General features: G+C 40.9%; 1 protein-coding gene across 1 annotated transcript in view; it reads right to left on the bottom strand.

The window, feature by feature from the left end:
• Window positions 1-8981: 8981 nt before the first annotated feature.
• UTP18 (UTP18 small subunit processome component) overlaps window positions 8982-15424 on the bottom strand; it is a 37388-nt gene continuing 30945 nt past the window's right edge. The window contains exons 12-14 of the mRNA NM_016001.3: window positions 12870-13012; window positions 9912-9950; window positions 8982-9133 (exon numbers count right to left, since the gene is read on the bottom strand). Coding sequence (NP_057085.2) covers window positions 9926-9950; window positions 12870-13012 — 168 coding nt within the window. The 3' untranslated portion in view covers window positions 8982-9133; window positions 9912-9925. The remainder of the gene's footprint in view (window positions 9134-9911; window positions 9951-12869; window positions 13013-15424) is intronic.

The following is a 15424-nucleotide window of genomic DNA, read 5'->3' as shown; positions in this document are numbered from 1 at the left end:
AGTGACAAAAATCTCTCAGCATTTGCTTGTCTGTAGAGGATTTTATTTATCTTTCATTTATGAAGCTTAGTTTGGCTGGATATGAAATTCTGTGTTGAAAATTCTTTCCTTTAAGAATGTTGAATATTGGCCCCCACTCTCTTCTGGCTTGTAGAGTTTCTGCCAAGAGATCCGCTGTTAGTCTGATGGGCTTCCCTTTGTGGGTAACCCGACCTTTCTCTCTGGCTGCCTTTAACATTTTTCTCTTCATTTCAACCTTGGTGAATCTGACAATTATATGTCTTCGGGTTGCTCTTCTCGAGGAGTATCTTTTTGGTGTTCTCTGTATTTCCTGAATTTGAATGTTGGCCTGCCTTGCTAGGTTGGGGAAGTTCTCCTGGACAATATCCTAAAGAGTGCTTTCCAACTTGGCTCCATTCCCCCCGTCACTTTCAAGTACACCAATCAAACGTAGATTTGGTCTTTTCACATAGTCCCATATTTCTTGGAGGCTTTGTTCATTTCTTTTTACTCTTTTTTCTCTAATCTTGTCTTCTTGCTTTATTTCATTAATTTGATCTTCAATCACTGACATCCTTTCTTCCACTTGATCGAATCGGCTATTGAAGCTTGTGCATGCATCACGAAGCTCTCATGCCATGGTTTTCAGCTCCATCAGGTCATTTAAGGTATTCTCCACACTGTTTATTCTAGTTAGCCATTCCTCTAACCTTTTTTCAAGGTTTTTAGCTTCCTTGCAATGGTTTAGAACATGCTCCTTTAGCTCGGAGAAGTTTGTTATTACCGACCTTCTGAAGCCTACTTCTGTCAACTCATCGAAGTCATTTTCCATCCAGCTTTGTTCTGTTGCTGGTGAGGAGATGCGATCATTTGGAGGAGAACAGGCACTCTGGTTTTTTGAGTTTTCAGCTTTTCTGCTCTGGTTTCTCCCCATCTTTGTGGTTTTATCTACCTTTGGTCTTTGATGTTGGTGACCTACAAATGGGGTTTGGGTGTGGATGTCCTTTTTGTCGATATTTACGCTATTCCTTTCTGTTTGTTAGTTTTCCTTCTAACAGTCAGGTCCCTCAGCTGCAGGTCTGCTGGAGTTTGCTGGAGGTCCACTTCAGACCCTGTTTGCCTGGGTATCACCAGCACAGGCTGTACAACAGTAAATATTGCAGAACAGCAAATATTGCTGCCTGATCCTTCATCTGAAAGATTTGTCCCAGAGGAGCACCCGCCTGTATGAGGTGTCTGTCAGCCCCTACTGGGAGGTGTCTCCCAGTTAGGCTACACAGGGATCAGACATCCACTTGAGGAGGCAGTCTGTCCATTCTCAGAGCTCAAACACCGTGCTGGGAGAACCACTGTTCTCTTCCGAGGTGTCAGACAGGGACGTTTAAGATTGCAGAAGTTTCTGCTGCCCTTTATTCAGCTATGCCCTGCCCACAGAGGTGGAGTCTGTAGAGGCAGTAGGCCTTGCTGAGCTGCAGTGGGCTCCACCCAGTTTGAGTTTCCTGGCCGCTTTGTTTACCTAATCAAACCTCAGCAATGGCGGATACCCCTCTCCCCACCAGCCTGCAGCCTCGCAGATCTATCTCAGACTGCTGCGCTAGCCTTAAGCAAGGCTCCGTGGGTATGAGTCCCACTGAGCCAGGCATGGGAGAGAATCTCCTTGTCTGCCAGTTGCTAAAACTTTGGGAAAAGTGCAGTATTTGGGTGGAAGTGTCCCGTTTTTTCCAGGTACAGTCTGTCACAGCTTCCCTTGGCTAGGAAAGGGAAATCCCCAGACCCCTTGCGCTTCCTGGGTGAGGCAATGCCCTGCCCTGCTTCCGCTCACCCTCCATGGGCTGCACCCACTGTTCAACCAGTACCAGTGAGATGAACTAGGTATCTCAGTTGGAAATGCAGAAATCACCCATCTTCTGTGTCGATCACTCTGGGAGCTGCAGACCAGAGCTGTTCCTATTCAGCCATCTTGGAATGAAAATTAGAGCTTTTATATATTTTTAGTAGTGAAACATTGTGTACACAATACATAATTACATAGACATATTAGGCATACCAGTAGAAGTACATCTTATAGATTCATAAGACCTACTTTTTTTTTTTCCTGTCTTAGACTTGCAAACTCTTCATAACCTGTTTCATTACCCTGGCAGTTGTCAGCTAAATTGCCTTAAATCTGCATATCGAAGGAAACAACTCTTAGGTGAAAAATCAGGTAACAAAATTTACATCTCAAGGTACAGAGAGAAAAAGTCTGGTGTTGCTAGAGGGAGATTAAAGATGGATGCCAAATCAAACATAAAATTATAGAAATCTATCATAGGATTGTATAAGGAAACCAATTTTATTTAGATACGGACTATCTGCCTTTTAAGTGGATCTCTGATCTCTGGGCAGAGCCCACACTGAATCCTGGATCTCCAAAAAGGGAGAATTACTATGAGGCTAGACCTCATGCTTTTCCAGTGCACTCAAAAAAAATTTTTTTAACAAAGACATTTCTAAGTGTCTAAACTACATTCTTCCTTAACAACCCAAGAGTTGCCTCTGTTGCAATAACTATTTTAGTTAAAAAAATCAGGTAACACAATACAAAAGAAAGCAGTTTGAAAGCTGAGACGAACTTGTCTGTTTACACTCTTTGGATTCCATAAGGAAAAACAGACATTTCCCAAAAGGGAGTCTGGCACCTTCTCTGTTTTTTTATTTATTTATTTATTTTTTTTTTTTTGAGACAGAGTCTCACTCTGTCGCCCAGGCTGGAGTGCAGTGGCGCTATCTCGGCTCACTGCAAGCTCTGCCTCCCAGGTTCACGCCATTCTCCTGCCTCAGCCTCCCGAGTAGCTGGGACTACAGGCGCCTGCCACCACACCCGGCTAATTTTTTGTGTTTTTTTTTAGTAGAGATGGGGTTTCACCATGTTGGCCAGGATGGTCTCGATCTCCTGACCTCGTGATCCACCCTCCTCGGCCTCCCAAAGTGCTGGGATTATACCTTCTCTTTTTCCTTTTAGGAACTTCAGACTATTATAAACTATTTTAGGTCTTCATGCAGCAGAGGGTGCAAGAGAAAGGAAGGACAGCAGAAGCAAATAAAGAAAACAGAATTCAGTCAACAGAGAAGAAAAAAGGTTTTGTTCAAAAAAAAGACAAGGTCCTAAGAGGAAAAAAAAATGAAGGCCTTTAAAATACAAACACTCACACACACACACACACACACACACACACACACACGCATCTTCGATGTTAGCTTTTAATTGAGCTGACTTTTAACCATTGAGCTCCTTTTAAAAAAATATTTTTAGATTTCATTACCATATTTCAAATAGGACAAATTGCTGCTATTTCAGAAGTACCAAGTATTAAACCAGAAAGGGCTTCATTTAGGGACAAAACCCAGGCTGTCGTGGTGATAAAAAGAAGGCAGAACATTGGCTATGGAACTCCACTGTAGGGTAACAGCCATTGCTCTTACAGTTTGGCCTGGCTAGCCAAAAGGTGGCCTTCTTATGTAAATAAAGCCCCTTAAGTAATCAAAATCAAATATCTTTCCTTTTTTTTTTTCTTTTTCCTGGCCATTTTTCTCCCCTCACCATACCACCTTTGTGTGTGTGGGAAGGGGGGTGTTGGGGGAGTATGGGGGAATTGAAAAACAGCCAGCAAGAGGGGAAAAAAAAGGAAAGATTGTTTATTTGGACTACTTAAGGGCTTTATTTACATAACAAGTCCACCTTTTTGTGTATGTTGGGAATTTAGCCAATTCAGAGGGCTTGTTCCCCATAATTTGAAACTTTCTTTGGACTTGATCAAGTCAGATACAGTTGGTCAAACCCAATGGGAAAAAGGTTGAAAGAACAAAAACAGAGACAAACAACAACAAAACCGTTAAGCAAAACAAACAATTGCACAACTTAAATGATTACTGAGCACTCTAATGGTAAGGAGAAATGAAGACCAGTTGGTTGTTAACCTTAACTTTAGCCAAGACAAACCCCAATTCAGTTACTTACCTAGGGACAGGTCTCAGGCTGGAGACTGCTCTCTATTATCCTAGAAGCAGGAAAAAAAACCCTCAAATTTGCCTTCCCTGTTGGGAGCAAGCTCAAAGCCCTAAAGGAGTAACCTATTTGTCATGGAAGCAGGAAAACTAGCCTTCCTTGTGCTGGAGGAAGCAAATAAAACTCACAAGAAAAAAAGGAGTTGTAAAGCAAAATAAACTTCAGATCTTGACCAAATTTTGAGAGATCAGGGATTCTCTGGAGGGCGTGCTTCCAGGCCTCAGCAAATTGCCCTATTGGTTTGAGCCATCAAGACAGCTCAAGATGGTACCAAGCACCAATAGGAGATTTGTCAAAGGCCGGGAGGCACCTCCACTCAGAGTTCCTTTGTGGTTACCAAAATGTGAACCCTGAATATCTGAGACAGGTCTCAGTTAATTTAGAAAGTTTATTTTGCTAAAGTTGAGGACTTGCACCTGTGACACAGCCTCAGGGAGTCCCGACAACATGTGTGCCCAAGATGGTCAGGGCACAGCTTGGTTTTATACATTTTAGGGAGACATGAGACATCAATCAATATATGTTAAGAGGTACATTGGTTCTGTCCAGAAAGGCAGGACAACTTGAAGCAGGGAGGGGGCTTCCAGGTCACAGGTAGGTGAGAGAAAAACAGTAGCATTCTTTTGAGTTTCTGATTAACCTCTCCAAAGGAGGCAATCAGATGTGCATTTATCTCAGTGAGCACAGGGATGACTTTGAATAGAATGGGAGGCAGGTTTGTTCTAACCAGTTCCTGGCTTGACTTTTCCCTTTAGCTTAGTGATTTGGGGGCCCCAAAATGTATTTTCCTTACATGCCTCTGTCCCCCTAAAATATCTAAAATCAAGCTATAACCCAACCACCTTGGGCACATGTTCTCAGGATCTCTTGAGAGTCTGCATCGGGCCTTGGTCACTCATATTTGGCTCAGAATAATTCCCTCAAATATTTTATGGAATTTGACTCTGTCGCCAACTTTTTGTTCTGTCTGTAATCAAGTCAGATTTTTTAAGTTTATAGAATTTTGATACAGGCGTGCAATGTGTAAGAATTGCATCATGGGGCTGGGCACGGTGGCTCACGCCTGTAATCCCAGCACTTTGGGAGGCCGAGGTGGGTGGATCACCTGAGGTCAGGAGTTCCAGACCAGCCTGACCCATATGGTAAAACCCCATCTCTACTAAAAATACATGTGGTGGGGGGCGCCTGTAATCCCAGCTACTCGGGAGGCTGAAGCAGGAGGATCACTTGAACCTGGGAGGCGGAGGTTGCAGTGAGCCAAGATTGTGCCACTGCACTCCAGCCTGGGCGACAGAGCAAGACTCTGTCAAAAAAAATAAAAATAAAACATGGCAAGTGGGCTATCAATCCCCTCAAGTTTTTATCCTTTGTTACAAACAATCCAATTACACTGTTATTTTAGAATGTACAATTAAGTTATTACTGACTATAGTCACTTTGTCACTTTGTTGTGCCATTAAATACTAGGTCTTACTCATTACAGAGAAAAATTGGAAACATAATGCTTTGAACCAGTCTTTGTAGCAGGGATTGGGCTAGAGAAAAAACTCAAGTTTAAAGTCAGTCTAAACTACCTAGCTTATGTGACAGTTAATGGAGAAGCTTTAACATTATAGGGAACATAAAAAGTGTTTGGGAACAGTGGAGGACAGGGTGTGGAAATGTGTCAAGTTTGGCATGGCAGCCAGGCACCCAGGCCAGTGGTCCTTTAATAAGAAATGTACATTGAGGTGAGAACGGTGGCTCACGTCTATAATCCCATCACTTTGGGAAGTTGAGGCAGGCAACTGCTTGAGCCCAGGAGTTCCAAGACCAGCCTGGGCAGTATGGAGAAACCCTATCTCTACTAAAAATATAAAAATTAGATGGGCGTGGTGGGGTGCCTCTGTAGTACCAGCTACTCGGGAGGCTGAGGTGGGAGGATCACTTGAACCTGGGAGATTGAGGCTGCAGTGAGCCATGATCATGCCACTGTACTCCAGCCTGGGTGACAGAGCAAGACCCTGTCTCAAAAGAAAAAAAAGAAATGTACATTGAATGTACCAATGTAAACATATCTGTTTATGGCCGGGTGCAGTGGCTCACGCCTGTAATCCCAGCACTTTGGGAGGCTGAGGCAGGTGGATCACCTGAGGTCAGGAGTTCGAGACCAGCCTGGCCAACATGGCAAAACCCCGTCTCTACTAAAAATACAAAAATTTAGCCGGGCGTGGTGGTGGATGCCTGTAATCCCAGCTACTCTGGAGGCTGGGGCAGGAGAATCTCTTGAATCAGGAGGCAGAGGTTGCAGTGAGCCGAGATCACAACATTGCACTCCAGCCTGGGTAACAAGAGCAAAACTCCGTCTCAAAAACAAAAACAAAACAAAAAACCCTATCTGTTTCTAAGTTATCTCTATGATCTACAGTATGAATACATTATGTAACAAGAATACTTTTTTTTTTGAGACGGAGTGTCACTGTGTTGCCAGGCTGGAGTGCAGTGGCATGAACTTGGCTCACTGTAACCTCCGCCTCCCGGGTTCAAGTGATTCTCCTGCCTCAGCCTCCCGAGTAACTGGGACAAAAATACTTTTTACACAGCATAGAAGTTCTAGTATTTCCTTCCCACAATCTAAAGGGCTGTATCTCATACCCTTAAGAGTATGCAAACCCTGCTTTGTGGACCACTGATCTATGTCAAAATGATGGCTTTGGGACCAAGATGCTCAATCTCTTGAAACTTCAATTTACTTTCCTGTAAAATGACAATGTTATTTTCCTCACAGAGGAACGAGAATTATATGAGATTCTATGTATGTATTACTGATGTCAGCACAATTACAGCACCAGGGGGTCGGAAAGGCTATCCACATCCCCACAGCCTACCTTCTCCGCCAGCCTCCATTTCCTCCAGTTTAAAAGAATGGAAAATGCTTTGTTTCTTGTGTAATGACTTTGCAGATGCATTTAAGTATCATCCCAAGTAGCTTAAGAACTCTTCGAAGCTGTGAGCCAGCACCTGACTTCATGGGCATTTGCTTGCCTCCATCCCATCCTCAAACTGGAGGTGCAGATATGCCTACAAACCCTTCAGCTGGTCAGCTTATAACAGGTTACATATCCGTACCAGAAACACACACATACGCACACACTTAACGTCCATCGGTAAGGCAAATGACTTTTCACCTGGACTTTGTTTAAACAGAGGAAACGTCTTCGTAAGACTAATCATTCTTCGGTTCACTAACTATTAGTGAGGATGTGGGGGAGAGATGAATGGGATACATCAAAGATTTCAACTTGTCGATTTATCAAAGTATACCCAAGTACATCCTGTGTGGCTCTGGATGGCAAAATATCACCTCACAGCTCAAGATGGTTCCCCCCAAAACAGAGAGACATGAGCCACTTTCATGCTGTCACAGCAACTGCCAAAAGAGCATCTGTAAAGAATTTCATGGCTATGGATCTCATTTCCTTGAAGAATTAGCTTGGCACTGGTTACAAGGAGACGCAATGAAAGTCTGACTCGAATCCCTAACTCTCATTGAGGGGGAAAAAATATTAAACATTACAATACAAGACACAGGATTAGTAGCACCTCTGTAGAACAAATAGCACATCTGTCTATCTTGGAGATTAGAACTGGATTCTTTATTCTGCTCCTAGTAGTGTATAAAAATGATCTAGAGAGTTTAACAAAGAACAGTTAAAATTTAGACTCTGCTTCCATCATTTTCTGTAGGATAAGTTCCTATAAACTGTCACACTTCTGGGAACTGAAAACCATACGCAAAATAAGCACATATAAGGCTTGGTGTCCATTTCTGAAACAATTTTGCTGAAGCTAAGGACAAGGTGACAGCAAAAAGCTCCAAAAGCCTTGCCTTCAACTATTCATGTGATCCAATGCTGCCCTCTAGCAATGGGAGAGAGAAATAGCACTAACAATCCCACTGGTTTCAGGAATTCAAGGTTTTAGCATTAATAGTATTTACTATGGAAAAAGTTGCTGAAAAAGGAGGAAGTAGGGGAAGGGTCTCCACAATTAGATTGCAACAGTCCATCTCAACAGAAAATGTTCTTTTAGAAAGACACTGGGATAAGTTAACACAACCCATACCTATTGGACTGCTCTATGTCCTACGTCCTCTCCAGCTGACCCAGGAGAGCCTTGAAGACACGAAGGGACTCTCCACTGACCTGGAACCTATTACTTCACCGGGCAAAGCTACTTTCTGTTGCTGAAAAAACTCCCTCCTCCGCCGACTTCTCTCTTCCATGTTTTAGTAGAGGGTGGGGCTAAAAGCTATTAGACCTAACTTGATACTTCTCGTAACACCCGCCCAACCCCTTTAATACTTCCTAAATGCACGATATGGTGTCAGTTCTTCCTAAGAAATGTAAGGACTGGTCTCAAGCAAGGTTATATTATGATAAGAGAACTATGGAGCCAGCTGCCAACCTTGAAATACAAATTAAACATTTAAGTTGGCATAATGAACATTTCCAGGAAGGGCAGTGGCTAATAATCTGTAGGACAAGGCTACCAGGTTTACTATGGCTCCTCTTCAAATGACAATGACAAAGATTTGAAGTAATAAGGCCAGAAAAGCCTTTTCATTTCCAAAATCATCTTTCCTGGAAGACTTGGAAGTTCAAACTTCACTACGTGAGATTTCACTGCTCTCATATCAAGCCGACTGACCTCCATAGCTCAAGAGACTACCTGTTAGCTGATCCCCTAAAGCATGGAGGATCGATTCAGGAAGGGGGATCTATTCAGGAAGAGATCTATGCATCAGGGTTAGCTGTATGAGAAGTATGAGAAAATCTGCTTATATTATTTTTGGCTACAGACAGGTGTTTCCAATTTCTCATGTTTAGTCTTAAATGCATCCAAGTTTGTGTGTGTGTGTGTTGGGGGTGGAGGGAAGAACCAGATACACTTATTTTCAAACAAAAGCTGCCACATGTTTATTAAGACATTACTGGCTCTTAAGCACAGCTGGATCTATAAATCATTTTCCATATATTATCACATATTCAGGAAAGTTTCTGAGATGATATATCAAGACAGGCTTCTCTTGTGACTCAACTGGACCTGAGGAAAGAACAAAAGAAATTACATACCTGATTTATAGCTGCTGGTCATCAACAGACACGTACTGGCAATGTAATCTTTTGAGACAGGAGAGCTAAACTGCTTTCCCCTCCTTGCTAAAGCTTTGCCCAAAATGCCTGTACCTTTAAAAATCCTTTGTCCTAATTAAATCTATCTGCATTCTCAAAGTCCCTCAACATTCATTAATCTCTGAGGAGACCAAACAGTCAACTGTGATGAAGAGGCCAATTGCAAAGCTCAATCTCAGAACCACCACATCTCAGGCCTGAAAGGACACCATGAGAAGGGAAGGATGTTCTATGGTTTTAAATATTGGGCAGCAGAACTAATGGCCAGCCCCATTATCTAGCTCTGTGAAACAGAGCAAGCTGCTAATCTCTCAAGAAACATATATATAATAAGAGGATTCAAGCTCATACAAGCTATAGCTATATCTGAAGACCCATCTCTCTGTGTTATTAAGTCTTTTGTGGATTAAACATGTTCAGTAATTACAATTTTGATGAGAATTATTGAATGCAACATTAGAGATCAGACCTCAGAAGAACCGAGCCAGATTGCTGTGATTTGGGATAAGAAAGGAGGGTCCAACTTCAGCTAGACAGTTCCTGATCTACTTCCAACCCACCCCTCTAAATAAAGATGCAGTAACTTAGGGGTAGAGAAACAAAGCTCAGCTAATGTGCTGCTTCCACCAACTGACAGCAATGGGTGTATCTTAAAACCTGCAGAATTTGTAAGAAAAGGGTTTTCTTACTTCAAATAGTCTCTTTAGAAGTCTGAGTAATGGTGCAACCTGGAAAAGTAAAAAATAAGTCATCTGAACAACTTTGTAATTACCCACAGTGTTTTCAATTAGATCACAGAAGGGCACTTAGGAAGATTTTAGTGGGAAAAATATGTAATCACAATCATTCACACCAGGCAGTTAGGTTCAGACTCCTCAATCTGACATTCTGGAGGATCTGAACGCCTCAGATTTTAGGTAACATGAGTAGGCTTACTCCAAAGTTTCACATGGGGGGTCTATGAAATACCTGATCAGACATAAACAATAAAAATGTCATCAGTCAATTCCAGTCACTGGTATAGCTAGAAACAGTGTCATTCTAAAGAGCAATGCTCTGGTGGAAAATCTAATGGCCTTTGGGTCTTAGAGAAAAAAAAATTTCACTTATAAAAATACCAAAGGATTTGGAAGAAAATTCTAAGTGCAATAAGAATCTGCATCCTTTTATAAAATACAAACTGAAACAGAACCACTCCAAATCTGATCTGAAATGAGACTGATGAAATTATCCTGGTATAACCTGTTTTCCTTTCAAAGTAAGTAGAACTGTAAACCACATTATTGTCTGGTATATTCTCCTTTCACAACTATTTCCTCAAAACCAATTTACATTCCTCCTTTTCTTCACTCCAGATTTTAGTCCGTTTTGAAAGCAGGAATTCCCTAAAGCATACAAACATAAACACAGGGTTCTATGTAGCATTCACTACCAACACAAGGAGCAAGGCAAGAGGGCTGTGATTTACATCACAAGTTTTCTACTGAAAGCTCTTTAGTTCTCCCTAAAGATCCACCTTGTCACCTATATCTTCTAGCAATGATGCAATTAGGTTTTGTTTGTTCCTGTTTTATAGCCAAGTATGTTGGGTACAGAAAAGAACCTGGACAGCGCATATAAGTTTTGGTTATCTTTGTGGTTAACACCCTTATTTACAGCTTACAGCTACAGGGAAAGAAACACCTTTTAAAAAGAAATCAATTAAATCTAGTGGAGTAAACTGAATTATTAAATCAGCAAAAGCTAATCTAAACATAAGGCACGAAGAAAGTGGAAATATTATTAAAGTGGCTTTTTCTCAATTTGACATTCTCAAAATAGTGCTTTCCAAAAAATATATATATTCCCCAGGTGAAGTTTCCTGCTAGTGACATTTTATGGTAGAAAATTACCCAAAGTACTGCCCAAGGTTATTTATAGATTCAATGCCATCCCCATCAAGCTACCAATGACTTTCTTCACAGAATTGGAAAAAACTACTTTAAAGTTCATATGGAACCAAAAAAGAGCCCGCATAGCCAAGTCAATCCTAAGCCAAAAGAACAAAGCTGGAGGCATCATGCTACCTGACTTCAAACTATACTACAAGGCTACAGTAACCAAAACAGCAGGGTACTGGTACCAAAACAGAGATATAGACCAATGGAACAGAACAGAGGCCTCAGAAATAATGCTGCATATCTACAACCATCTGATCTTTGACAAACCTGACAAAAACAAAAAATGGGGAAAGGATTGCCTATTTAATAAATGGTGCTGGGAAAACTGGCTAGCCATATGTAGAAAGCTGAAACTGGGTCCCTTCCTTACACCTTATACAAAAATTAATTCAAGATGGATTAAAGACTTACATGTTAGACCTAAAACCATAAAAACCCTAGAAGAAAACCTAGGCAATACCATTCAGGACATAGGCATGGGCAAGGACTTCATGTCTAAAACACCAAAAGCAATGGCAACAAAAGCCAAAATTGACAAATGGGATCTAATTAAACTAAAGAGTTTCTGCACAGCAAAAGAAACTACCATCAGAGTAAACAGGCAACCTACAAAATGGGAGAAAATTGTCGCAACCTACTCATCTGACAAAGGGCTAATATCCACAATCTACAATGAACTCAAACAAATTTACAAGAAAAAAACAACCCCATCAAAAAGTGGGCGAAGGATATGAACAGACACTTCTCAAAAGAAGACATTTATGCAGCCAAAAAACACATGAAAAAATGCTCATCATCACTGGCCATCAGAGAAATGCAAATAAAAACCACAATAAGATACCATCACACACCAGTTAGAATGGCGATCATTAAAAAGTCAGGAAACAACAGGTGCTGGAGAGGATGTGGAGAAATAGGAACACTTTTACACTGTTGGTGGGACTGTAAACTAGTTCAACCATTGTGGAAGTCAGTGTGGCGATTCCTCAGGGATCTAGAACTAGAAATACCATTTGACCCAGCCATCCCATTACTGGGTATATACCCAAAGGATTATAAATCATGCTGCTATAAAGACACATGCACATGTATGTTTATTGATGCGGCACTATTCACAATAGAAAAGACTTGGAACCAACTCAAATGTCCAACAATGATAGACTGGATTAAGAAAATGTGGCACATATACACCATGGAATACTATGCAGCCATAAAAAATAAAGAGTCCATGTCCTTTTTAGGGACATGGATGAAACTGGAAACCATCATTCTCAGCAAACTATCACAAGGGCAAAAAACCAAACACCGCATGTTCTCACTCAGAGGTGGGAATTGAACAATGAGAACACATGGACACAGGAAGGAGAACATGACACTCCAGGTACTGTTGTGGGGTGAGGGGAGGGGGGAGGGATAGCATTAGGAGATATACCTAATGCTAAATGACGAGTTAATGGGTGCAGCATACCAACATGGCACATGTATACATATGTAACAAACCTGCACAGTGCACACATGTACCCTAAAACTTAAAGTATAATAATAATAAAATAAAATAAAATAACCCAAAGTAAGATAATGAAGATGAGAGTCAAGATAAACAGACTAGAATTTATTAACTGTAGAATTAGGAATATATAGTATCTCTTCATACTGTCAGAAGTAGTTTATAGGTATCTCTGACTTTTAAACATAAATAATACCTACCTATACATCAGGGCCTTGCCCTTTTCATTCCCCAAGGCAAAGTATCCACTTCTCGGAGAAAAATCCATGGTATGAACATGAGAAATATTCTTATTTTTAATGACTGGGAAGTTTGAAAATACTGTACAGGAAGGAAGATGAACCTGCAGGAGATAATAAAAAACTTTAAAGTGTAACAACTGGGAGCTCATGTTTCTTAAATTGTAATCTTCACTCTATCTTCCTGCTGAAACATAAAGCTCATTTTGATTGTAGCACACAAGAAAGTACAGTCTATTAGTGCAGCAAAGTGTTCCAAAATTAAGTTTGATCTTTTTTTATTACTTTATTTTTATAGTTAAGAGATACAGCTGCAGTTTTGCTACATGAATTTCTTGCACAGTGGTGAAGTCTGGGCTCTTAAGTGTCACCATCACTCCAATGGTGGACAGGGGTGTCCAATCTTTTGGCTTCCCTGGGCCACAACGGAAGAAGAATTGTCTTGGGCCACACATAAAATACACTAACACTAACGACAGGTGATGAGCTTAAAAAAAAAAAAAACAACAACTCATGTTTTAAGAAAGTTTACAAATTAGTGTTGGGCCACAATCAAACCGTCCTGCGCCGTGGGTTGGACAAGATTGATGTACACTGTACCCATCAGATAATTTCTCATCCCCTACCCCTCTCCCATGCTCCCACCTTTCCAAGTCTCCAATGCCTATTATTCTACTGTGTCCATGTGTACACACTATAAAATTTGATCTTTAATGTGTTATTAACTGAGCAGAAAAGGAAGAAAGAGAAAAAAGCGTCAGTACAGCATCCAGCATGATGCCTCAGAGATTCAAATGTTTGCTGAATGAGTAAATTAATGAATAAACTAAAGCAAAAAGTACCCACTCTAGCTTAATGACCACAGTAAAGAATACTAAAATCTGATCACAGGGAAAAGAGATTTTAAACATGAAGGTTCATCTGGTTAGTTAAATGGTGAAAAAAATTAAACATTATAAAGTCTGATTTTACATAACTGAAGCCTAGGCAAAGTCATACCACATATATTCTACTATCATAAAATTGCCATTTTGTACTTTTAATTTTCAACTATTGTATATACACTTTGCCTTTTACAATTTCTCCTCGAAGAGGGCTGAATCATGAAAATCTAACTCCAAGTGAAACTGTTCTGATTTAGAGAGAGCCAAAAGCTCACCTCAAAGCCAGACGTAAGTATGAGGAGGAACACACACAGTCTCTTTCTCCAGAGTCTACTTCCTAAGTTCAGGAGAGTTGAGACAGGTCCTCACCCAATTTGTGGATGAATAAAACCCAGGTATGGAAGCAGTTACCTTTAGGCCACAATTGTAACAACACTCACTTTCAGATGTTCTCTAGCTCTCCCAAGAGATATAGCACCTTCATGTTCAAATATATACAACCGTTATCATTCAGCTGGGCAGTTAGTCATCCTCCACACTTCTAGGTCAGACTTTATACCATCAAAGTGATTTTCACAGGCAAGTGCTGGGTAAAAACCACTGATACATACACCTATTAAACTGGTTTCAGTCAGTCACATATTAGGCCAAATTCTGATACATACTTACTGACCATTTTGTCAAGAAAATACTGTTTACAGTGAATCTCCAAGCCACATTCAATTATTTTCAACTTTGCCAGAAGGCAGGTTCTGCCTGCACAGCGTGGCATCAATGTGAAGGCAATGGTGCTAATGAGAAGTGGTCTTGACCCATTAAAGCTAAGAAGTTGGCAGTACCCCAATTTGGACTTCACTTCTAAAGTTCTTAAATACCACTCTCTATACAGGTTCCTCGAGAAATTACTTTTAAGTATATATATTTTTTCAAGCACTTAGTAAAAAAGCAGACTCCTGTTTTACAGAGAGAAGCCACAACATGGATATTGCAAAATTTATTTACATTTAATTTGGGAAGGCAGATATTATATAAATTTGTGATAAGTACCTTGGCTTAACTGTGTTTCACTTGGGTTATTGTAAGTTTGTATCCTTCAAGCATGCCCCAACTATGAACAGATGATCCAAAGCATCAGGAAAGCAGATGATCAGGAAAAAAACATTTGCTACAAGGGGTGAGGACAAAGCTGTTCTACCTCTGCCTTTTGTTCCCACCCTATTCACCTGATACTATGAAACTAGGCCTCAGGCATTCACTCACCAACTTTCCTGGAATGACTTTGAAGTTTGGGGAGCTGGTTTTCTGACTCTTCCTCATCAAAATACACTAGAACCAACCTTTCTATCTGAATGACTTTTCTTTTCTTTTCTTTTTTTTTTTTTTTGAGATCAAGTCTCACTCACTCTGTTGCCCAGGCTGGAGTACAGTGGTGCGATCTCAGCTCACTGTAACCTCCGCCTCTTGGGGGCAAGCAATTCTTCTGTCTCAGCCTCCTGAGTAGCTGGGATTACAGGTGTGGGCTACCACGCCCAGCTAATTTTTGTATTTTTAGTAGAAATGGGGTTTCACCATGTTGGCCAGGCTGGTCTCAAACTCCTGGCCTCAAGTGATCCTCTCACCTTGACCTCTCAA

The sequence above is a fragment of the Homo sapiens genome, chromosome 17, assembly GCF_000001405.40.
Source record: "Homo sapiens chromosome 17, GRCh38.p14 Primary Assembly".
Lineage (NCBI taxonomy): Eukaryota > Metazoa > Chordata > Mammalia > Primates > Hominidae > Homo > Homo sapiens.
This window is presented reverse-complemented; position numbering and strand designations above follow the sequence as displayed.